This window comes from Homo sapiens, chromosome 2 (assembly GCF_000001405.40).
Source record: "Homo sapiens chromosome 2, GRCh38.p14 Primary Assembly".
Taxonomy (NCBI): Eukaryota; Metazoa; Chordata; class Mammalia; order Primates; family Hominidae; genus Homo; species Homo sapiens.
Window position 1 is genome coordinate 127,930,664 of NC_000002.12, and position 18,760 is coordinate 127,949,423.

The 18,760-nt window shown below is 41.7% G+C and overlaps 1 protein-coding gene and 1 pseudogene across 20 annotated transcripts in view; one reads left to right on the forward strand and one right to left on the reverse strand.

Annotated features, from left to right (window-relative positions):
• Window positions 208–924, forward strand: LOC100288192 (archaelysin family metallopeptidase 2 pseudogene; annotated as a pseudogene).
• SAP130 (Sin3A associated protein 130) overlaps window positions 10,559–18,760 on the reverse strand; it is an 86,838-nt gene continuing 78,636 nt past the window's right edge. For all 20 annotated transcript variants that reach the window (XM_047445826.1, XM_047445825.1, NM_001330299.2 and 17 more), the window contains 3 exons: window positions 14,793–14,896; window positions 11,761–11,874; window positions 10,559–11,501 (listed from right to left, as the gene is read on the reverse strand). In XM_047445826.1, the coding sequence (XP_047301782.1) occupies window positions 11,343–11,501; window positions 11,761–11,874; window positions 14,793–14,896 (377 nt within the window). In that variant the 3' untranslated portion in view covers window positions 10,559–11,342. The remainder of the gene's footprint in view (window positions 11,502–11,760; window positions 11,875–14,792; window positions 14,897–18,760) is intronic.

The window sequence follows — 18,760 nt, forward strand, 5'->3', positions numbered from 1 at the left end:
ACTTAAGACGCCTAATTAGATGAAATAAATAAATTCTAGAAACACACAATCTACCCAAACTGACTCAAGAAATGAATGCAGGCGGGGGTCCCATGGAAGGCAAGCTGGCAGTGTCGAGGGCTGTTGGGGGTGAAGGCATCTCATACAACAGGGCCAGGCGCAGACATGCATGTCTTTGTAAAGTGAAACATTCAGTGATAATCTCCTTCTGTAAACATGCTAAAGACTGTTCTCATGCCAAAGAACACAGCATGTATATCCCAGTATCAGAGCTCAGATACTGGGGAAGACTGTTCTATGAAAGCAGGCTTCCAACCAGACAGTGATCACTTTGGACTCACTAGCCTACATTTTCAGTCAGCTTGAGAGGAAGGCTTCTGAAGATTGAACAGTTTTCTATGATCCTTACAGGAGAAATGCCCCAGAGAAATGCAGTATTTATGTATAGTCCATTGGTATGTATTGGATCTCTAGGAAATACCAGAATTATCAGTGTAGAATATGTTCAATGGTTCATGGGCCACTACGAAGCGTTATTCTATAGCTTGACAGTACAACTCCCGGAACCAGCTCCTATTTCTGCAATGAGGTGTTCTTTCAGAGTCGGTGATAATGTACCAAACCTGGAAATTCATGTAGGGCACATTCTGAAGTGAAAAAAACAAAAAGGAAACCTAAAGATGCATTCTATGTTGCAGGGATAACAATGATTGATCTTAACCCAAGAGACACCTGGAATTTTGTGTTTGGACAGGCTTCTTTGACAGATGGTGTGGGGAATTCAGCTTTGCCAGGTATGGCAGTGATTTTTATTGTTCATGATATAAAAGCAATGTGAAGAGGTCCCAGAGAACATCTTCAAGTGACAATTACAGTCCTGGAATGGCGAGTATTTTGCCACTTCAATGCTGCAAGACTTGAGCGGGAGATGGATGACTTGCTTAGTAGGTACAGTGTGTGTTGCTCCAAGGATGGATGCACTGAGGGCCCTGTCTTCACCACAACACAATATATTACAGTGTAGCAGAACTGCGTTTTTATTCCTTGAATATATACAAAGAAAGAAAGAAAGAAAAGAAAGTTTTTCTATAAGAATAATTTAGGCTGGGCATGGTGGCTCAGGCCTATAATCCCAGCACTTTGGGAGGCTGAGGTGGGTGGATCGCCTGAGGTGAGGAGTTCGAGACCAGCCTGGCCAACATAGAGAAACCCTGTTTCTACTAAAAATACAAAAATCAGCCGGGCGTGATGGTGATCCCAGCTACTTGGGAGGCTGAGGCAGGATAATCACTTGAACCTGGGAGGCGGAGGTTGCAGTGAGCTGAGATCACACCACTGCACTCCAGCCTGGGCAACAAGAGCAAGACTCCATTTCAAAAAAAAAAAAAGGAATTTAAACCCGCAAGGCGTAAAAGTGTAACAACTCACCCTCTCTACATATCATAAAATTCTGAAATTTCCAAAAAAAAAAAAAAAAAAAAAAGGCCAGGTGCACTGGCTCACACCTGAAATCGTAGTACTTTGGGAGTCCAGGACAGGAGTTCAAAACCAGCCTGAGCAAGAAAGCAAGACCCCATTTCTATAGAAAATTAAAAAATTAGCTGGGCATGGTGGCATGTGCTTGTAGAGCAGCTACTCAGGAGGCTCAGTGGCACAATCGCAGCTCATTGCAGCCCATCTATTTGCCCATCTATTTCTGCAAGTTGCAATGTGCTACGGTTTCAACACTAGAAAGGTAACCAAGTGCTTGATGATGAAATCTCCTGACATTCCTGGAGTCACTCTGAAACATCATCATGGGAATAATGTGAATTTACCAGACCCATGGAAACTTTTAAGAAAAGAGTGGATAATAAAATGCCTTGCAGCCCTCCAAAATAAACAATCTTTTAATAGGAGTAATTAAAATGAAATAGTTGCACACAAAAGAAAAAAGAAATAGAAAATCTGCAAACAGTCATCTGCCACATAATGACGTTTTGGGCGAGTCAGACCTCATAAATGACTGTGGTCCCATAAGCTTTAATGGAGCTGCAAAATTCCTATTGCCTGGTAATATCGTAGCCATTGTTGAGCAACGCATTACTCACGTGTCTGTGGTGATGCTTGTGTAAACAAATCTACTGCACTGTCAATCATAAAAGCATAGCACATACAATTAAGTACAGTACATAATACTTGATGATAATAAACAACTATGTTATTGGTTTATGTATTTACTACACTATACTTTTAATCATTGTTTTAGAGTATATTTGTTATGTTTTTTGAAACAGGGTCTCACTCTGTCACCCAGGCTGGAGTGCAGTGGTGTGATCACAGCTCACTGCAGCCTCGACCTCCCAGGCTCAAGCAATCTTCCCACCTTAGCCTCCCAAGCAGCTGGGACTACAGGCACGCACCATCATGCCCGGTTAATTTTTTGTATTTTTAGTAGAGACGAGGTTTCGCCATGTTGACCAGGCTGGTCTTGAACTCCTGAGCTCAAGGGATCCACCTGCCTTGCCTCCCAAAGTGCTGGGATTACAGGCGTGAGCCACTTGTGTCTGGTCAGAAAAAATTTGTAAATTAATTTAGTGTAGCCTAAGTGTACAGTGTTTATAAAGCCCACAGTAGTGTAGAGTAATGTCCTAGGCCTTCACATTCACTCATCCCTCACTCACCAAAGCAGTTTCTAGTTCTGCAAGCTCCATTCGTGGAGAGTGCCCTATATACAAGTACCATTTAAAAATCTTTTACACCATATTTTTACTGTACCTTTCTTATGTTTAGATATGCTTAGATACACAAATACTTACCATTATGTTACCACTGCCTACAGTATTCAGTACAGTAACATGCTGTACTGGTTTGTAGCCTAGGAGCAATAGTCTATGCCATATAGCCTAAGTTGGTGTAAGTACAACCTGTGATGTTTGCACAACAATGAAATTGACCAATAACACATTTCTCAGAATGTATCCCTGTCATTGAGGGATACATAACTATAGACCTAGAACTATTAAGGAAATTGAATCAATAACAAAAAACCTCTCAACAAATAAACGCAACCAAATGGCTTCTCTGATAAATTATAATAATTCTACAACAATTACTCACAAACACTTCCAACATACTAGGGAAAAGGGAACACTTTCTATATCACCCTACAAGTCCAGTATTACCCTGATGCTCAGATTAGACAAAAGTACAAGAGAGATATAGACTAATATCCTTTATGAATATACATAAAAATACTCAGTAAATACTAGTAAACTAAATTCAGTGGCATGTAAAACAGATTATACACCATGACTGAGTGGGATTTATCCTTAGAAAGCAAGGATGGTTCAACATACTAAAGTTAATGTAATATATCATATTAATAGAAGGAAGGAATAAAACCATATAATGACATTTTAAGCTAGATGATTAAAACAAACAAGTAAAAAAAAAAACAAAAAAAAAAACTATATGATCATCTCAAATGATGCAGATTTGAAAAAATTTAACCTCCTTTTATTATAAAAATACTCAATGAACCAGGAATAGCAAGAAACTTCCTAAACATGATAAAGCCAATATGAGAAAAATTTACAACTAACATAATAATCAATGGTGAAAGACTGAATGCTTTCCCTCTAAGGTCAGGATCAAAGCAATGGTGCCCACTTTCACCTCTTCTCTTAGAGTCTCACTCTGTCGCTCAGGCTGGAGTGCAGTGGCATGATCTCTGCTCACTGCAACCTCTGCCTCCTGGTTTCAAGTGATTCTCCTGCCTCAGCCTCCTGAGTAGCTGGGATTACAGGCAAGTGCCACCACGCCCAGCTAATTTTTGTACTTTTGTAGAGACAAGGTTTTGCCACATTGGCAAGGCTGGTCTTGAACTCCTGACTTCAGTGATCCACCCGCCTCAGCCTCCCAAAGTGCTGGGATTACAGGTGTAAGCCACCACACCCAGCCCACTTTCACCTCTTCTATTCAATGTAGTAGTGGATGTTCTAAGAAGAACAATTAGGTAAGAACAAGAAAATGCATCTAAATTAGAAAACAAAATAAAGTTATCACTGTTTGCAGATGACAGAATCTTTTTTTGATGATCTTATTTGTAGAAAAACCTAACAACTCCACAAAAACTATTAGAGATAATTTGAAAATTCAGCAAACCTGCAGGATACAAATTAACTCCCAAAAAGCAGTTGTATTTTTATACTTTTGCAATAAATAGTCTGAAAGTAAATTTTATTTATTTTATTTTTGGAGACAGAGTCTTGTTCTGTTGCTCAGGCTGGAGTGGAGTGGTGCGATCTCAGCTCACTGCAACCTCCACCTCCCAGGTTCAAGTGATTCTCCTGCCTCAGCCTCCCAAATAGCTGGGATTACAGGTGTGTACCACCACACTCCCCCACCTAATTTTTGTATTTTTAGTAGAGAAGGGGTTTTGCCATGTTGGCTAGGCTGGTCTCGAACTCCTGACCTCAGGTGATCCACCCGCCTTGGCTTCCCAAAGTGCTGAGACTACAGGTGTAAGCCACCATGCCTGGCCTGAAAGCAAATTTTTAGAAACAATTCCATTTATAATAGCTTCAAAAGAATACTTAAGAATGTAAAATGGGGCTGGGCGCAGTGGCTCATGCCTGTAATCCCAGCACTTCAGGAGGCTGAGGCAGGTGATCGCCTGAGCCCAGGAGTTCGAGACCAGCCTGGGTAACATGGCAAAACCCTGTCTTTACAAAAAGTACAAAAGTTAGCCGGGCGTGGTGGCACGTGCCTGTGGTCCCAGCTACTTGGGAAGCTGAGTTGGGGGGATCACTTGATCCCAGGAGGTTGAGACTGCAGTGAGCCAAGATTGTAACGCTGCACTCTAGCCTGGGCGATAGAGTGAGACTCTGTCTTAAATAAATAAATAAATAAATAAATAAATAAATAAATAAAAGAATTTAAAATGTTGCAGCTACTATAAAAAATAGTTTGGTGGCTATCCACAGAATTATCATATGATACAGCAATTCCATTCACAGATATAGATCCAAAGGAATTAGCCACTTAAACAGACGCTTGTATGCCAGTGTTCACTGCAGTATTACTTAAAACAGCCAAAAGGTAGAAACAACCAAGTATCCATCAACACATAAATTAATTAAAAAAGTGATATATACAGTGATATATACTTACAATGGAATATTATTCAGATTTTAAAAGGAATGAAGTCCTGATGTGTGCTACAACATGGATGGACCCTGAAAACCATCTGCTACATGAAATAAGCCCAACACAGAAGAACATATATTGTACAATTCTAGTTATACAAGGTATCTAGAACAGGCAAATTTGTAAAAATAAAGTCGATTAGAGATTACCAGGGGCTTATTGGTTACAAAGGAGTAATGAAAAACTCTTAGAATTAGATAATGGTAATGTTGCACAACATGGTGAGTATAATGATTGCCACTGAATTGTACCGTTAAAATGGCAAATTTTATGTTACATATATTAATAGTTTTAAAAATTAGTAATTTAATGTATCAAAAATCTTTGAACTGTATACTTACAATGGGTAAGTTGCATGATATATGAATTGTATCTCAATAAAGCTGTTTAAATTTTTTTTTTTGAGATGGAGTCTGCATGAGCCACTGTGCCTGGCCAAAAATGTAAAAAAAAAAAAAATCAATTGTATTTCTATTGTATACTCATTGGTTTTGTAGTACCAATGAGTACACCAAATATGAAATTAAGAAAACAATTAAGAAAACAATTCCGGCCGGGCACAGTGGCTCATGCCTATAATCCAAGCACTTTGGGAGGCCAAAGCGGACGGATCACCTGAGGTCAGGAGCCTGGGTGACAGAGTGAGGCTCTGTCTCAAAAAAAAAAAAAAAAAAAAAAAAAAGTCAATTGCTTTTTCTATATACCACCAGTGAGCAACTGGAATTTGAAACTGAAAACATAGTGCCATTTACAATAGTACCAAAAAAATCAAACACTTACAAATCTTAGTGAAATACATATAGGATGTATACGAGGAAAACTGCGAAAACTCTAGTGAAAGAAATCAAATATATAGATAAATGAAGGGATAGTTCATATTTGTGGATTAGAACACACAACACTGTTATCAATTATTTCCAACTTGATCTACAAAGTCTACATAAAGCTAATCAAAGTCTCAGCAAACTATTCTGTAGATGTCAACAGTCTATAATTTATAGGAAAAGACAAAAGACCTGAATAGCCAACACAAGAATGAAGAACAAAGATGAAGAACCGACATTGCCCAACTTTAGGACTCCCTATAAAACTACACTAATGTGCTATTCATCAAGGAAGTGGATCCATGGAACAGAAGAGAAAGCCGCACAAATACAGTCAATTGATCTCTGACAAGGGAGCCAAGGCTTATTAGCAAAGGCTTCAAAGAGAAATCTTACTAGGATTTCAATGGAGCAAGGAGAGGCTTTTCAACAAATGGTGCTGGAACACAACTGGATATTCATATGACAAAACAAAACACAAAAACCCTGGCTGGGCGCAGTGGCTCACGCCTGTAATCCCAACACTTTGGGAGGCAGAGGAGGGTGGATTGTTTGAGCTCAGGAGTTTAGGACCAGCCTGGACGACATGGTGAAATGCTATCTCTAAAAAAATACAAAAATTAGCTGGACATGGTGGCATGCGCCTGTAGTCCCAGACACTTTGGAGGCTGAGGTGGGAGGATCGCTTAGGTCCAGAAGATTGAGGCTGCAGTGAGCCATGATCATGCCACTGCACTCCAGCCTGGGTGAGAAAGCAAGACCTTGTCTCAAACAAAAACAAAAACAAAAACAAAAAGTCCTTGACAGACCTTACATCTTTCATAAAAATCAACTCAAAATGGGTCATAAACCTAAATATAAAACATAAAAATATAAAATTCATAGAAAACAGGAGAAAACCTAGGTGCCTTAGGTTTAGCAATATCTTTAGATATAATGTCCAAGGCACAATTCATGAAAGAAAAAATTAAAAAGTTGTATTTTACTAAAATTAAAAACTTCTGTTCTTCAAAAGGTACTACTGGCCAGGCACAGTGCTGTAATCCCAGCACTTTGGGAGGCTGAGAGGCTGAGATAGGAGATTCCTTGAGCCCATGAGTTTGAGACCAGCTTGGGCAACATAGTGAGACCCCATCTCTACAAAAAATACAAAAATGAGCTGGGTGTGGTGGCACATGCCTGAAGTCTCAGCTACTCGGGAGACTGAGGTGGGAGGTTTGCTTGAGCCCGGGAGGTTGAGGTTACAGTGATCTGTGATCATGCCACTGCACTCCAGCCTGGGAAACAGAACAAGACCCTGTCTCAATTCAAAATAATAATAATAATAAAAAAGGCAAAGATGTGAATAGATATTTCACCTGAGAGGATACTAAAGAAGGCAAATGAACACATGAAAATGCTCAACATCATATATCACCAGGGAACTGCAAATGAAAATGAAATACCACTACACACCTATTAGAAAGACTAAAATCCAAAAAGCACTGACAACACCGAATACAGGAACTCTCATTCATTGCTGGTTGCAATGTAAAATGATACACCCCTATTAGAGGACAGTTTTGCAGTTCCTTACAAAACTAAACAGTTTTTCACCTTACAACCCAGCAATCACACTCCTAGGTTTTTACCCAAACGATCTGAAAAGTGATTTACACATAAAAACCTGCACACAAATGTTTATAGCAGCTTTATTCATAATAGCCAAAAATGGAAAGCAAACCAATGGGTCCTTCAATAGGGAAGTGGACAAACTGTTGCATCCTCACACAGAATACCACTCAGCAAGAGAAACAACATACTGATACTCATGACAAATGGATGAAGCTCAAATTATGTTGAGCAAAATAAGCCAAACACAAGTGTGTACTGCATGAATCTATTAAATGAAGTTAACGAACAGACAAAACTAATCTGTGTTAACAGGTGGTAGATGAGTATTTACCTTTTTTTGTGGGGGGCGGGCTGAGGCAGAGGGGTACTGACTACAAAGAGGTGCTCCTTTGGGATTATAGAAATGTCATGTGTCTTTATTTGGGTGTTGGCGATGGGTGTATATATTTGTCAAAACACAAGATTTTGACAAATCTTATTAGGATTTGAGCATTCGACTCTGTACTACAATAAAAATGATTATTTGGAAAAGTTAGTGGGGCACTGGAGGGCTGTGATTACATGTGGCAGTGGCGAAGCTTCTGGAGATGACTGACAAGTTTCTATTTCTTACCATGGGGGTGATTTGAAAGTTGTTCTTAAGAATTGATGAATCTATACATTTGCTTCATGTACTAGGCTTTTGGATGTGTGGTATTTTATAATGTAAAAAGAAAAAAAATTGTTTTTAAGGAGTCCATTTCATCATTGGTTGGGTTGGACTACATAATCTGTAAATAAATATTCAATCCTGTAATTGTATGACTCTCTATTATTACTATGACAAAATCAGTAGGTCAGGTGCAGTGGCTCACGCCTGTAATCCCAGCACTTTGGGAGGCTGAGGCAGGAGGACTGCTTGAGGTCAGGAGTTTGAGACTGGCCTGGGCAACATAGTGAGATCCCGCCTCTACAAAAAATTAAAAAACTAGCTAGGCACGGTGGCGTGCACCTGTAGTCCCAGCTGCTCAGGAAACTAAGGCAGGAAGATTGCTTGCACTTGGGAGGTTGAGGTTGTAGTGAGCTGTGTTCGCCTCACTGTATTCCAGCCTGAGTGACACCAAGACCATCTCAAAAAAAAAAAAAAATCACTCGTTATGAAGACATAAAAATATTACAAGCCATTTTCTTTTTAAATGTTTTCTTGTAGAAGTGGGGTCTCACTATGTTACCTAGGCTGGCCTCGAACCCCTGGGCTCAAGAGATCTTCCTGCTTCGGCCTTCCAAAGTGTTCAGATTACAGGCGTGGGCCACTATTCCTCTTTAATAAAACTGTATTTTTGTTTGTTTTTAGACAGGGTCTCACTCTGTCACCCACGCTGGAGTGCAGTGGTGTGATCTTGGCTCACTGCAGCCTCTGCCTACCAGGTACAAGTGATTCTCCTGCCTCAGCCTCCCAAGTAGCTGGGACTACAGGCATGCGCCACCACACCTGGCTAATTTTTATTTTTTTTAGTAGAGACGGGGTTTCACCATGTTGGCCAGGCTGGTCTTGAACTCCTGAGCTCAAGTGATCTGCCTGCCTTGGCATCCCAAAGTGCTGGGATTACAGGTGTGAGCCACTGCGCCCAGCCAATAAAACTATATTCAAAAACCATTGTTTGTAGGCAAGAATCATCCCCTTTGCCTCTAACTTCTGACTGCATTGTCCTCATAAGGGGAAGAAATCCTGAAAACACTATTTTCTTACCTGCACTGACTTCGAGGCTTGTACTGACAAGCTTTCTTCAAAAAAGTAATCTCTAGCCTGAGCAACACAGTGAGATCCCATCTCTTAAAAAGAAAAATAAAAAAAAAAATAGCTGGGTATGGTGGCAAGCACTGGTAGTCCCAGATACTCAAGAGACTGAGGCAGAAAAATCGCTTGAGCCCAGGAGTTGGAGGCTGCAGTGAACCACGATTGAGCCACTGCACTCCAGCCTGGGTGATAGAGTGAGATCCAGTCTCAAAACAAAACAAAACAAACAAAAAAAAAGCCATAGAGAATTATGTCTATAATATAGGATCCCACATACCTGAATCCTTTCCTGCTCTAACCAAAGACCACATGTGACCACTAAGGCAATGTGTGTACTGATGAGAAACTGCAGCAAAGGAACACTATTCTAGGAGTTATGCTAGATTGGCACCTAGTAAAACCTTCTCAAGTTTTCTCCATATCCTCATCGAATACTCTAGTCAAGCAGCCTCGATTGCGCCCAGGCTGTCTTTAGCCTAGGCTCTGCAGGCCTGGGTGGTCTTCCCAATCCCACAGATGACAGCTTACCATTCTACTATGAGGAAGGCTGTCTCAGGTGAGCCAGGGCATTGGTCCCAAAGGCATGGGTAGAAATGGAACACGGCCCATCTCAAATCTGTTCAACTCAGAGCAAAGGGAAGCACTCTAGCCCCAACCTGGTAGCTGAAAGCAGGTGTCCTAAGGAAGGAGGGTGGTCACGTCGTGTCTGCAGAGGCAGAAGCCTCTGAGAAAAATCTTTCCTGGTCTGTTACATGGAGGCCAGATGGAGACGGTTGGTCTTGTGCCCAAAGGAAGCCGATCTGAGCTGCCTTTCCACTCAGGTTAGTTCAGACGAAGAGCAATGTGTGGAGAGGATCCACCCGCCCGAAAGCTCCGCCCCCAGTACTGCAGCCTTAATAGTCCTGTAATCGGACCAATTTTTATCCGCACTGGGCCACAATACAGGCTCGTATTTAAGGGAGCCAAGATCCAACAGGTTTCACCACTGTAGCATATTTAGACTACCCTCTAAGAGGAACTCTATGCGAACAGCATAACTTCAACAAACAAAGTAGGCTCCCAACAATGTGTGAAAAACTGAAGCAGGGTAAACATTTCAGTGAGGGTCAGTATGGCACTGATTCACTTTACAAAAAGATGCAAACTGCGCAAGTACAAAAACCTCTTTGAGTCCTTTATTAACGTCTGGAGATGTGTGGTACATACAATTAACAGCATCACACCAGCTACAGAAGTACAGATAACCAAGAATGTACTTCAGAACAAGGATCTGAGAGCAACTTATGGTGTTGCCTGCTCTGAACCTCCACAAAAACCCAGTTCTGACACACGCAAGACAGACGATATAACAATTTCACTTGGGAATGGTTTTTTTTAAAAAATGACAAGAACTAATAGTTCAAACCCTTTAGAGTGTGAGATGTGGCAGCTCGCTTGGTGCCGTGGCACTGCTGTAAAAGGCCAACATGGGCATTTGAAGGTCAGGCAGAAGAACCGAATGGGGTGGGTGGAAGAGGTTTTATTTTCAGTGTAGAGAGATAACAGATGGTCCGAGTGGATACTTTCAGTCCAGGCTCAGTATGGGGCCTGCAGGAATCCACTAGATAAATACAGTCTATAAACCGGAAGGCTGAAAAACACCAGCCAGCCATCCTTGTCATTGCTTCCAACTGGTGGACACTGATGCATCCGGAGTCACTTATGACACAGATCAGGTTTAACAGGGGTGCACCCGAACGCAAGAAGGCAGCTCACTATGTCCAGTCAGCTCTGATCCTTTCACGCCCTTGGATGTCATGGGTTCCTCTGCTTTCACACGGGAACTAAGGAACACTTCCTTTATTTCAATGTTCCACTTTGGAAAAAACCAAAACCCTCCCCCCACCCCCACCATCATTCTTCATAAATTTGCTTCCAATCTCCTGATTGTTCTGGGTCTAGACTTTTTCCTTTCGCTTCAATTTGGACACTTTTTTGACAGTCCCGTTCTTGTTAAGCAGCTTCAGGACACGGTCTTTATGATCTAAAACCTTAAGCATGGAGTCTCTGGCTTCACTGATTTGATCCATCACAAGTTTACACCTCTGCATATTTCCCTGAAACAGAAGACATTGCATCATCAATCAGTGACCATGAGGATAGTACAGCTTTTAAAAAACTGCTTGCCTTTGGGCAGAGGCCATGTTGAGGCTTCCACAACAGAGAAAATGTCTTTTTGTTTCTCAGGAGTGCAGGCTGAAGCACGTATGTTTTTACTGAAGATATGAGGGAGACGGGGGGAAACGGGAGAAGTAGGGCTTTACAGAAAGCAACTTCATAAAGTAGATGATCAGAAGGGAAGGGGCGCACTCAAACCTGTATCAGTTCGTTTATTCGGTGGAGATCATCATCTGTTGCTGCTTTTTTCTTTGGGATAATCCCTTCCTGCAGGTTAGTAAGTCTTTCATAGACATCATGTTCTAGATTCGTCTGCAACACACAAAAGGGAGGGTATCATAAGCTCGGAAATATTTTTCTATGTCAACCCCAGGCAAATGAACCCACCTTCAATCACCTTTGTAAACTGTCTAAGAGTTGTTTGGGTGACAACGTCCTTTCTCCTAAGGACTAAGATACTAAGGTTTAAAAACAGTAAAGGGGCTGGGCGCGGTGGCTCACGCCTATAATCCCAGCACTTTGGGAGGTCGAGGCGGGTGGATCACCTGAGGTCCAGAGTTTGAGACCAGCCTGACCAACAAGGTGAAACGCCATCTCTATTAAAAATACAAAATTAGCTGGGCGTGGTGGCGCATGCCTGCAATCCCAGTTACTCGGGAGGCTGAGGCAGGAGAATCGCTTGAACCCGGGAGGCAGAGGTTGCAGTGAGCTGAGATCCCGCCATTGCACTCCAGCCTGGGCAACAAGAGCGAAATTCCATCTAAAAAATAAATAAATAAATAAATAAATAAAATAAAAACAGTAAAGGAAACTGATCAACAAAGATTTACATTATAATTTGCCATAGTTCAGAGCCTATCTTCAAGGATAACTTTTGAATACTGCCTTGAATCCACAATTCTTCTGAAACACAAGTCTCCAAGTTTCATAGAAGTGATTTCTGCTAAGTCAGAAGTAGCCAAGGCACTACATTTTTTTAGATACTGACAACAGACAATGTTCTTCAGGTCACTGCTACTGAAGAGGAAAAACTTTATGAGGTTGTTGCCTCCTCTTCACCTGCTGGTGAAGGAGGGATTCTTGCCCTAGGGTTATAGAAATGGCCAAACATATAAGATCCAACACTGGATGGATAAGATTAACAGCAGTTTATGAGTCACAAATACAGTCATGCTCTGCTTAATGACAGGGATACGTTCTGAGAAATGTCTTTAGGAAATTTTATTGTTGTGTGACCATCACAGAATGTACTTACACAAACCTAGATGTTATGAACTACCACATATTTAGACTATATGATAGAGCCTACTGCTCCTAGGCTACAAACATGTACACCATGTTACTGCAAGGAATAGTGCGGGAAACTGAAACACAGTGTTAAGTATTTGTGTATCTAAACGTATCTATACATAGAAAAGGTACAGCAAAAATACGGCATGACAGATTAAAAATGGTAAAGAGCACTTACATGAATGCAGTCTACCAGGACTGTTAAGTTGCTCTGTGTGAGTCAGTGGGTGAGCAGGGAGTGAATGTGAAGGTCTAAGACATCACTGTACACTACTGTAGGCTTTATAAGCACTGTGCCCTTAGGCTACACTAAATCTATTAAAAATATTCTTCTTTCTTCAATAACAAATTAACCGTAGCATACTCTTTTTACTTTATAAACTTTTAAATTGTTTTAAACTTTTTGACTCCTTTGCAATAAAACTTAGCTTAAAACACATATTGTTGGACAAATGTGGATACTGTTGGGCGGTTACAAAAAATATTTTCTTTCTTTGTATCTTTATTCTATAAACTTTGTTTTCTTCCTTTTTTTTGAGAGTGTCTTACTCTGTTATCCAGGATGGAGTGCAGTGGTGCGATCATGGCTAAGGGCAGCCTTGGTCTTCCGGGCTCAAGAGTTCCTCCCACCTCAGCTTCCCAGGTAGCTGGGACTAGGGGGTGTGCACCACTACACCCGGCTAATTAAAACACTTTTTTTTGTAGAGACAGGGTCCCACTATGTTGTCCAGGTGGGCCTCAAACTCCTGGGCCCAAGCAATCCTCTTGCCCCAGCCTTCCAAAGTACTGGGATCACAGGCCTGAGCCACTGAACCTGGCCCCTTATGTTCTATTAAAAAAAAATTTTAACTTTTTATACTTGTTAAAAATTAAGACACAGTACAGCCTGGGCAACATAGTGAGACCCTGTCTCTACAATTTTTTTTTTCCCCGAGAGGGAGTTTTGCTCTTTCGCCCAGGCTTGAGTGCAGTGGCATGATCTCTGCTCACTGCAACCTCCACCTTCTGGTTTCAAGCAATTCTCCTACCTCAGCCTCCCGAGTAGCTGGCATTACAGGCGCCTGCCACCACGCCCAGCTTATTTTTGTATTTTTAGTAGAGACAGGGGTTTCACCATGTTGGCCATGGTCTCGAACTCCTGACCTCGTGATCTGTCCACCTCGGCCTCCCAAAGTGCTGGGATTACAGATGTGAGCCACCGTGCCTGGCCTCTACAAAAAATTTTAAAAAATCAGCTGTGTGCAGTGGCTCACACCTGCAGTCCCAGCTGTTTGGGGGTGCTGAGGTGAGAGGATTAACTTAAGCCCAGCAGGTTGATCATGGCTGTAGTAAGCCATGGTCGTGCCACTGCACTCCAACCTGGGTAACAGAGCAAGACCTTGTCTCAAAAAAAAAAAAAAAAAAAAAAAGAACAGGAGAGAGGGAGAGGTATGCCCCGGTCTCTGAATGATGATGTGTGTGACTGGCTTATCTGAGTAACATTGGAAATTGGAATACTGGAAGCTGGCAGGGAACTGGAGCCTACTACTCAGCAAGGAGCAGGAATTGTGTGCCTGGTCCCTGTGGTATGAAGGGTTGTTTGCCTAGGAGACTTCATCTGAGGGAGCAGAGTTGGGAGGAGGGACTCTCGGTTAGGCCGTTTGAGGCTCCCCCTATTTCAGATGTCACAATATCACATAACACTGAATCTTAAATTTAGGTCTTACACCACAGTTGTTCCATATATTTTGGATCTGGATACCAGAACTTAGATATATTTCAATTTTAATCACATGTAACTGACACAGTGTGATATTACATAGCACACATAAAAATTCTATCATAACCCATGTTAGCTGGGAATGCTTCAGAGTTACTTTTAAAAAGTTCTATGAACTCAGCTATCTGCAGTGTCTTCTCCTCTCTTCAGCATGATGAACAACTGCTAGAACTCCACCTACCAGCTGTAGTAACTGGGCAGCACAGAGGTGGACTTTCCAGCCTTGAGCACGACAGGATACTCCTTTCTGATTAGCTATTTCCTGCAGCATAGCTTTCTTCTCCTCTGGAACCATAAAAAATAAAAATACATGTATTTCAGTGTTTAAAAAGGTAAATGATTTGTGTTCGAGCAGTGTAAATGCCATTATTTTAACAAGAATTTTATTTTTTTTTTGAGACAGTGTCTGGCTCTGTCACCCAGGCTGAAGTGCAGTGGTACAATCTCAGGTCACTGCAACCCCTGCCTCCTAGGCTCAAATGATTCTCCCACTTCGGCCTCCCAAGTAGCTGGGACTACAGGTGTGCGCCATCATGCTGGGCTCACTTTTGTATTTTTTGTAGAGATGAGGTCTTGCTATGTTGCCCAGGTTGGTCTTGAACTCCTGGGCTCAAGCAATTTGCCTGCCATGGCCTCCCAAAGTGTTGGGATTATAGGCATGAGCTGCCGTACCTGGCCATAAGAACTTTTTTATTTGAGGTAATGGTTTCATCTAGGAGAGGCAAGCCAAGAGGACACCAGGCTGCTTACTCCCCTCCTTTACCTCCACTAAGTGCTACCTCCTAAAGCAGGGCTGTCACTCAGAGAGAAGCTTGCCACGTGTCAAGCCAGGGCCTCCCCCATCTCTAAGGCCCTGGTTCAAACATTTTGCCGGAAGAAGTGGGCTGTAAAACAGATACCTTCTAATTTCTTCCTGAAGGAAGTGAGTCCATTTGCAAGAGTGTGAAGAAGTTCAAACCTAAAGGTGCTCCCCATAACAGTGGAGGCTGTGGCAAAGGGAATTGGGGGAGATTTGTGAACTAATGAAGATATAGCCTAGACTATGTGCAGGCTGGTTTGAAGGAAAGAACAAAGCATAAGACAGCTGGGGGAGCCTTTCCAAGGGCAGAACAACTTTATCAAATCAAGGAAGAACCCTTCTTTTTCTGTTTTTGAACACTGTTTATCATGAAAAGGTGTTTAATTTTGTCAAATTTTCTATATTGATTGATACAATCATGTGATTTTTCTTCTTTAGCTTTTGTTGTGGGTTGAATGGTTTTCCCCCCAAAGACATGTTGAAGATCCTTGGTACCTGTGACTATAACTATATTAGAATGTAATGTAGTCTGACCGCAGTGGCTCACACCTGTAATCCCAGCACTTTGGGAGGCCGAGGCAGGTGGATCACTTGAGGTCAGGAGTTCGAGACCAGCCTGGCCAACATGGTGAAACCCTGTCTCTACTAAAAATACAAAAAATTAGCGGGGTGTGGTGGTGGGCGCCTATAATCCCAGCTACTCAGGAGGCTGAGGCAGGAGAATTGCTTGAACCCAGGAGGCGGAGGTTGCAGTGAGCTAAGATCGCACCATTGTACTGCAGCCTGGGGGACAGAGCGAGACTCCGTCACAAGAAAAAACAAACAAAAAAGGTAATTTGGTTAAGAAGTCATACTAGATTAAGGTGAGCTGTAAATCCAATGACTGGTGTCCATACAAGGAGGGAGGGAGACAGAGAAGTAGAGAGAGAGAGAGAAAAGGAAGGGGAGAGAAGGAGAGAGAGAGAGAAAGGAGGATGGGAGAGGCAGAGAGACACAGAGAAGAATGCCATTTGAAGATGGAGGCAGGGACTGGAGTGGTGCAGGTGCAAGCCAGGAACACCAAAGATCGCTGGCAATCACAAGAAACCAAAGAGACAAGGAAGGATTCTCCTCTACTGCTTTCACAGAGAACATGATCCTATCAGACCTTTATTCTGGACTTCTAGCCCCCAGAACCATGAGAATAATTTGTACTGTTTTATGCCACCCAGTTCACAGTACTTTGTTATGGCAACCCTAGGAAATTAATAAGGCCAGTTAATATGGTGGATTACTTTGGTTTTCAAATGTTGAACCAGCTTTGCACAGCAAGAAAAAATTCTACTTGGTCAAGGTATATACTGCTGGATCTGATTTGCTAATATTTTATTAATGCATTTTTACATCTATATTCATGAGGAATATTGATCTGTCATTTTCTATATTTGTACACTCTGTCTGGTGTTGATAGCATGAAAATATTGGCTTCATAAAATAAATTTGGAATGTCCTTGCCTATATTTTAAAAGACACTGCAGAGAAATGGATCATTACCTGGTCAGCCGATTATCTTATCAGTATGTAATATCCCTCTGTGTCTCTAGCAATTTTCTTTCCTCAGAATTTTACTCTATGTGACATTAATATAGCCACTCCTGCTTTTCTGTAAATTAATTTCATATTGTGTGAATTAATTTTGTATTGTGTGTGTCTGTGTGTGTGTGTGTGTGTGTGTGTGTGTGTGTGTGTTTTGAGACGGAGTCTCACTCTGTCACCTAGGCTGAAGAGCAGTAGCATGATCTCGGCTTACTGCAAACCTCCACTTCCCGGGGATTCATGCAATTCTCCTGCCTCAGCCTCCTGAATAGTTGAAATTACAGGTGTGTACCACCATGCCTGGCTAATTTTTATATTTTCAGTAGGGACGAGGTTTCACCATGTTGGCCAAGCTGGTCTTGAACTCCTGACCTCAGGTGATCCAGCCATCTTGGCCTCCCAAAGTGCTGGGATTACAGGCGTGAGTCACCACACCTGGCTTGTATGTATTTTTCCAGTCTTTTACTGTCAATCTACCTATGCCACTGCATTCAAAGTGAGTTTCTTGTACACAGCACATAGTTGGACTGTGTTTTTTCACTGATTCTGCCAATCTGTGTTTAATTGGTATGTTTAGACTATTTACATTTATGACAATAACTAGTATGTAAGGCTTAGGTCTGCCACATTACTATGTGTTTTCTGTACTTCTTTTTTGTTTCTCTTTTCTTTCCTGTGAGTTTTTTTTTTTTTTTTTTTTTTTGAGACAGAGTCTTGCTCGGTCACCCAGGATGGAGTGTGGTAGCGGTGGTGCGATCTTGGCTCACTGCAACCTTTGCCTCCCGGGTTCAAGAGATTCTCCTGCCTCAGCCTCCTGAGTAGCTGGGATTACAGGCACCCGCCATCATGCCTGGCTAATTTTTTTGTGTTTTTAGTAGAGACAGGGTTTTACCATGTTGGCCAGGCTGATTTTGAACTCCTGACCTCCAGTGATCCGCCCGCCTCGGCCTCACAAAGTGCTGGGATTACAGGCGTGAATCACCGCGCCTGGCCTCCTGTGAGTTTTAGTCTATCTTGATGTATTTATATATAATTTATGTTATTTTATAGGTGAGGCAAAATAGCTGCACTAAAGTTTCATAGTCAAGAGGCACTGTGTAAAGGAGGTTAGTATGAATATATTGAAACAGAAGATTTAGGGATCATAAACCTTTCAGCTGTCAAGTTATCTTTCTTGAGATAGTTTTTGAAGAGCGAGTCCCAATAAGCATTTAGACTCTTGTAGTGTGGCTTGAAATGCTACCAGGCAAATTCCTAAATATTTTTTCTATGGAATTCTTGTGGCATGAAGAGATGTTTAGTGGTTCATATCCTACTTCCACTAAAAGGCAACACTCCTTGACCTCTGGAAATCTCACCCTCTTTCCAAACCTCAGAGTACACTTGTGAGGAAGAAAAGCTGGGAAATGTAGCCGCCTCTGTAATTCCATTCAGAAACTGAACTGTTAGCATGTCCACCTCTGCTTACTTAGTCAGTACTCCATCCAAGTTAGACTCATCTTGAGCCTTCAAGAAAACCCTTAGAGCAGTTTCCAAATGGGATTTATGTAAGAGAATGGGAAATGTGACCAATTATCTAGAGGCTCACATTTCTTTGTACATATATTATATTTGAGATTAATGGCACTTAAAGTCCATCCGTAGAAATATTTGCAGGTATTTGCAAAGTACTATCAGCATTTTCAATCATATGTGGGTTTATTAAAATGTTATTCTCAGGTTCCACCAGAACAACAGAACATTCATTGAGGGCTTACCTTAGACCACTCCAAGAG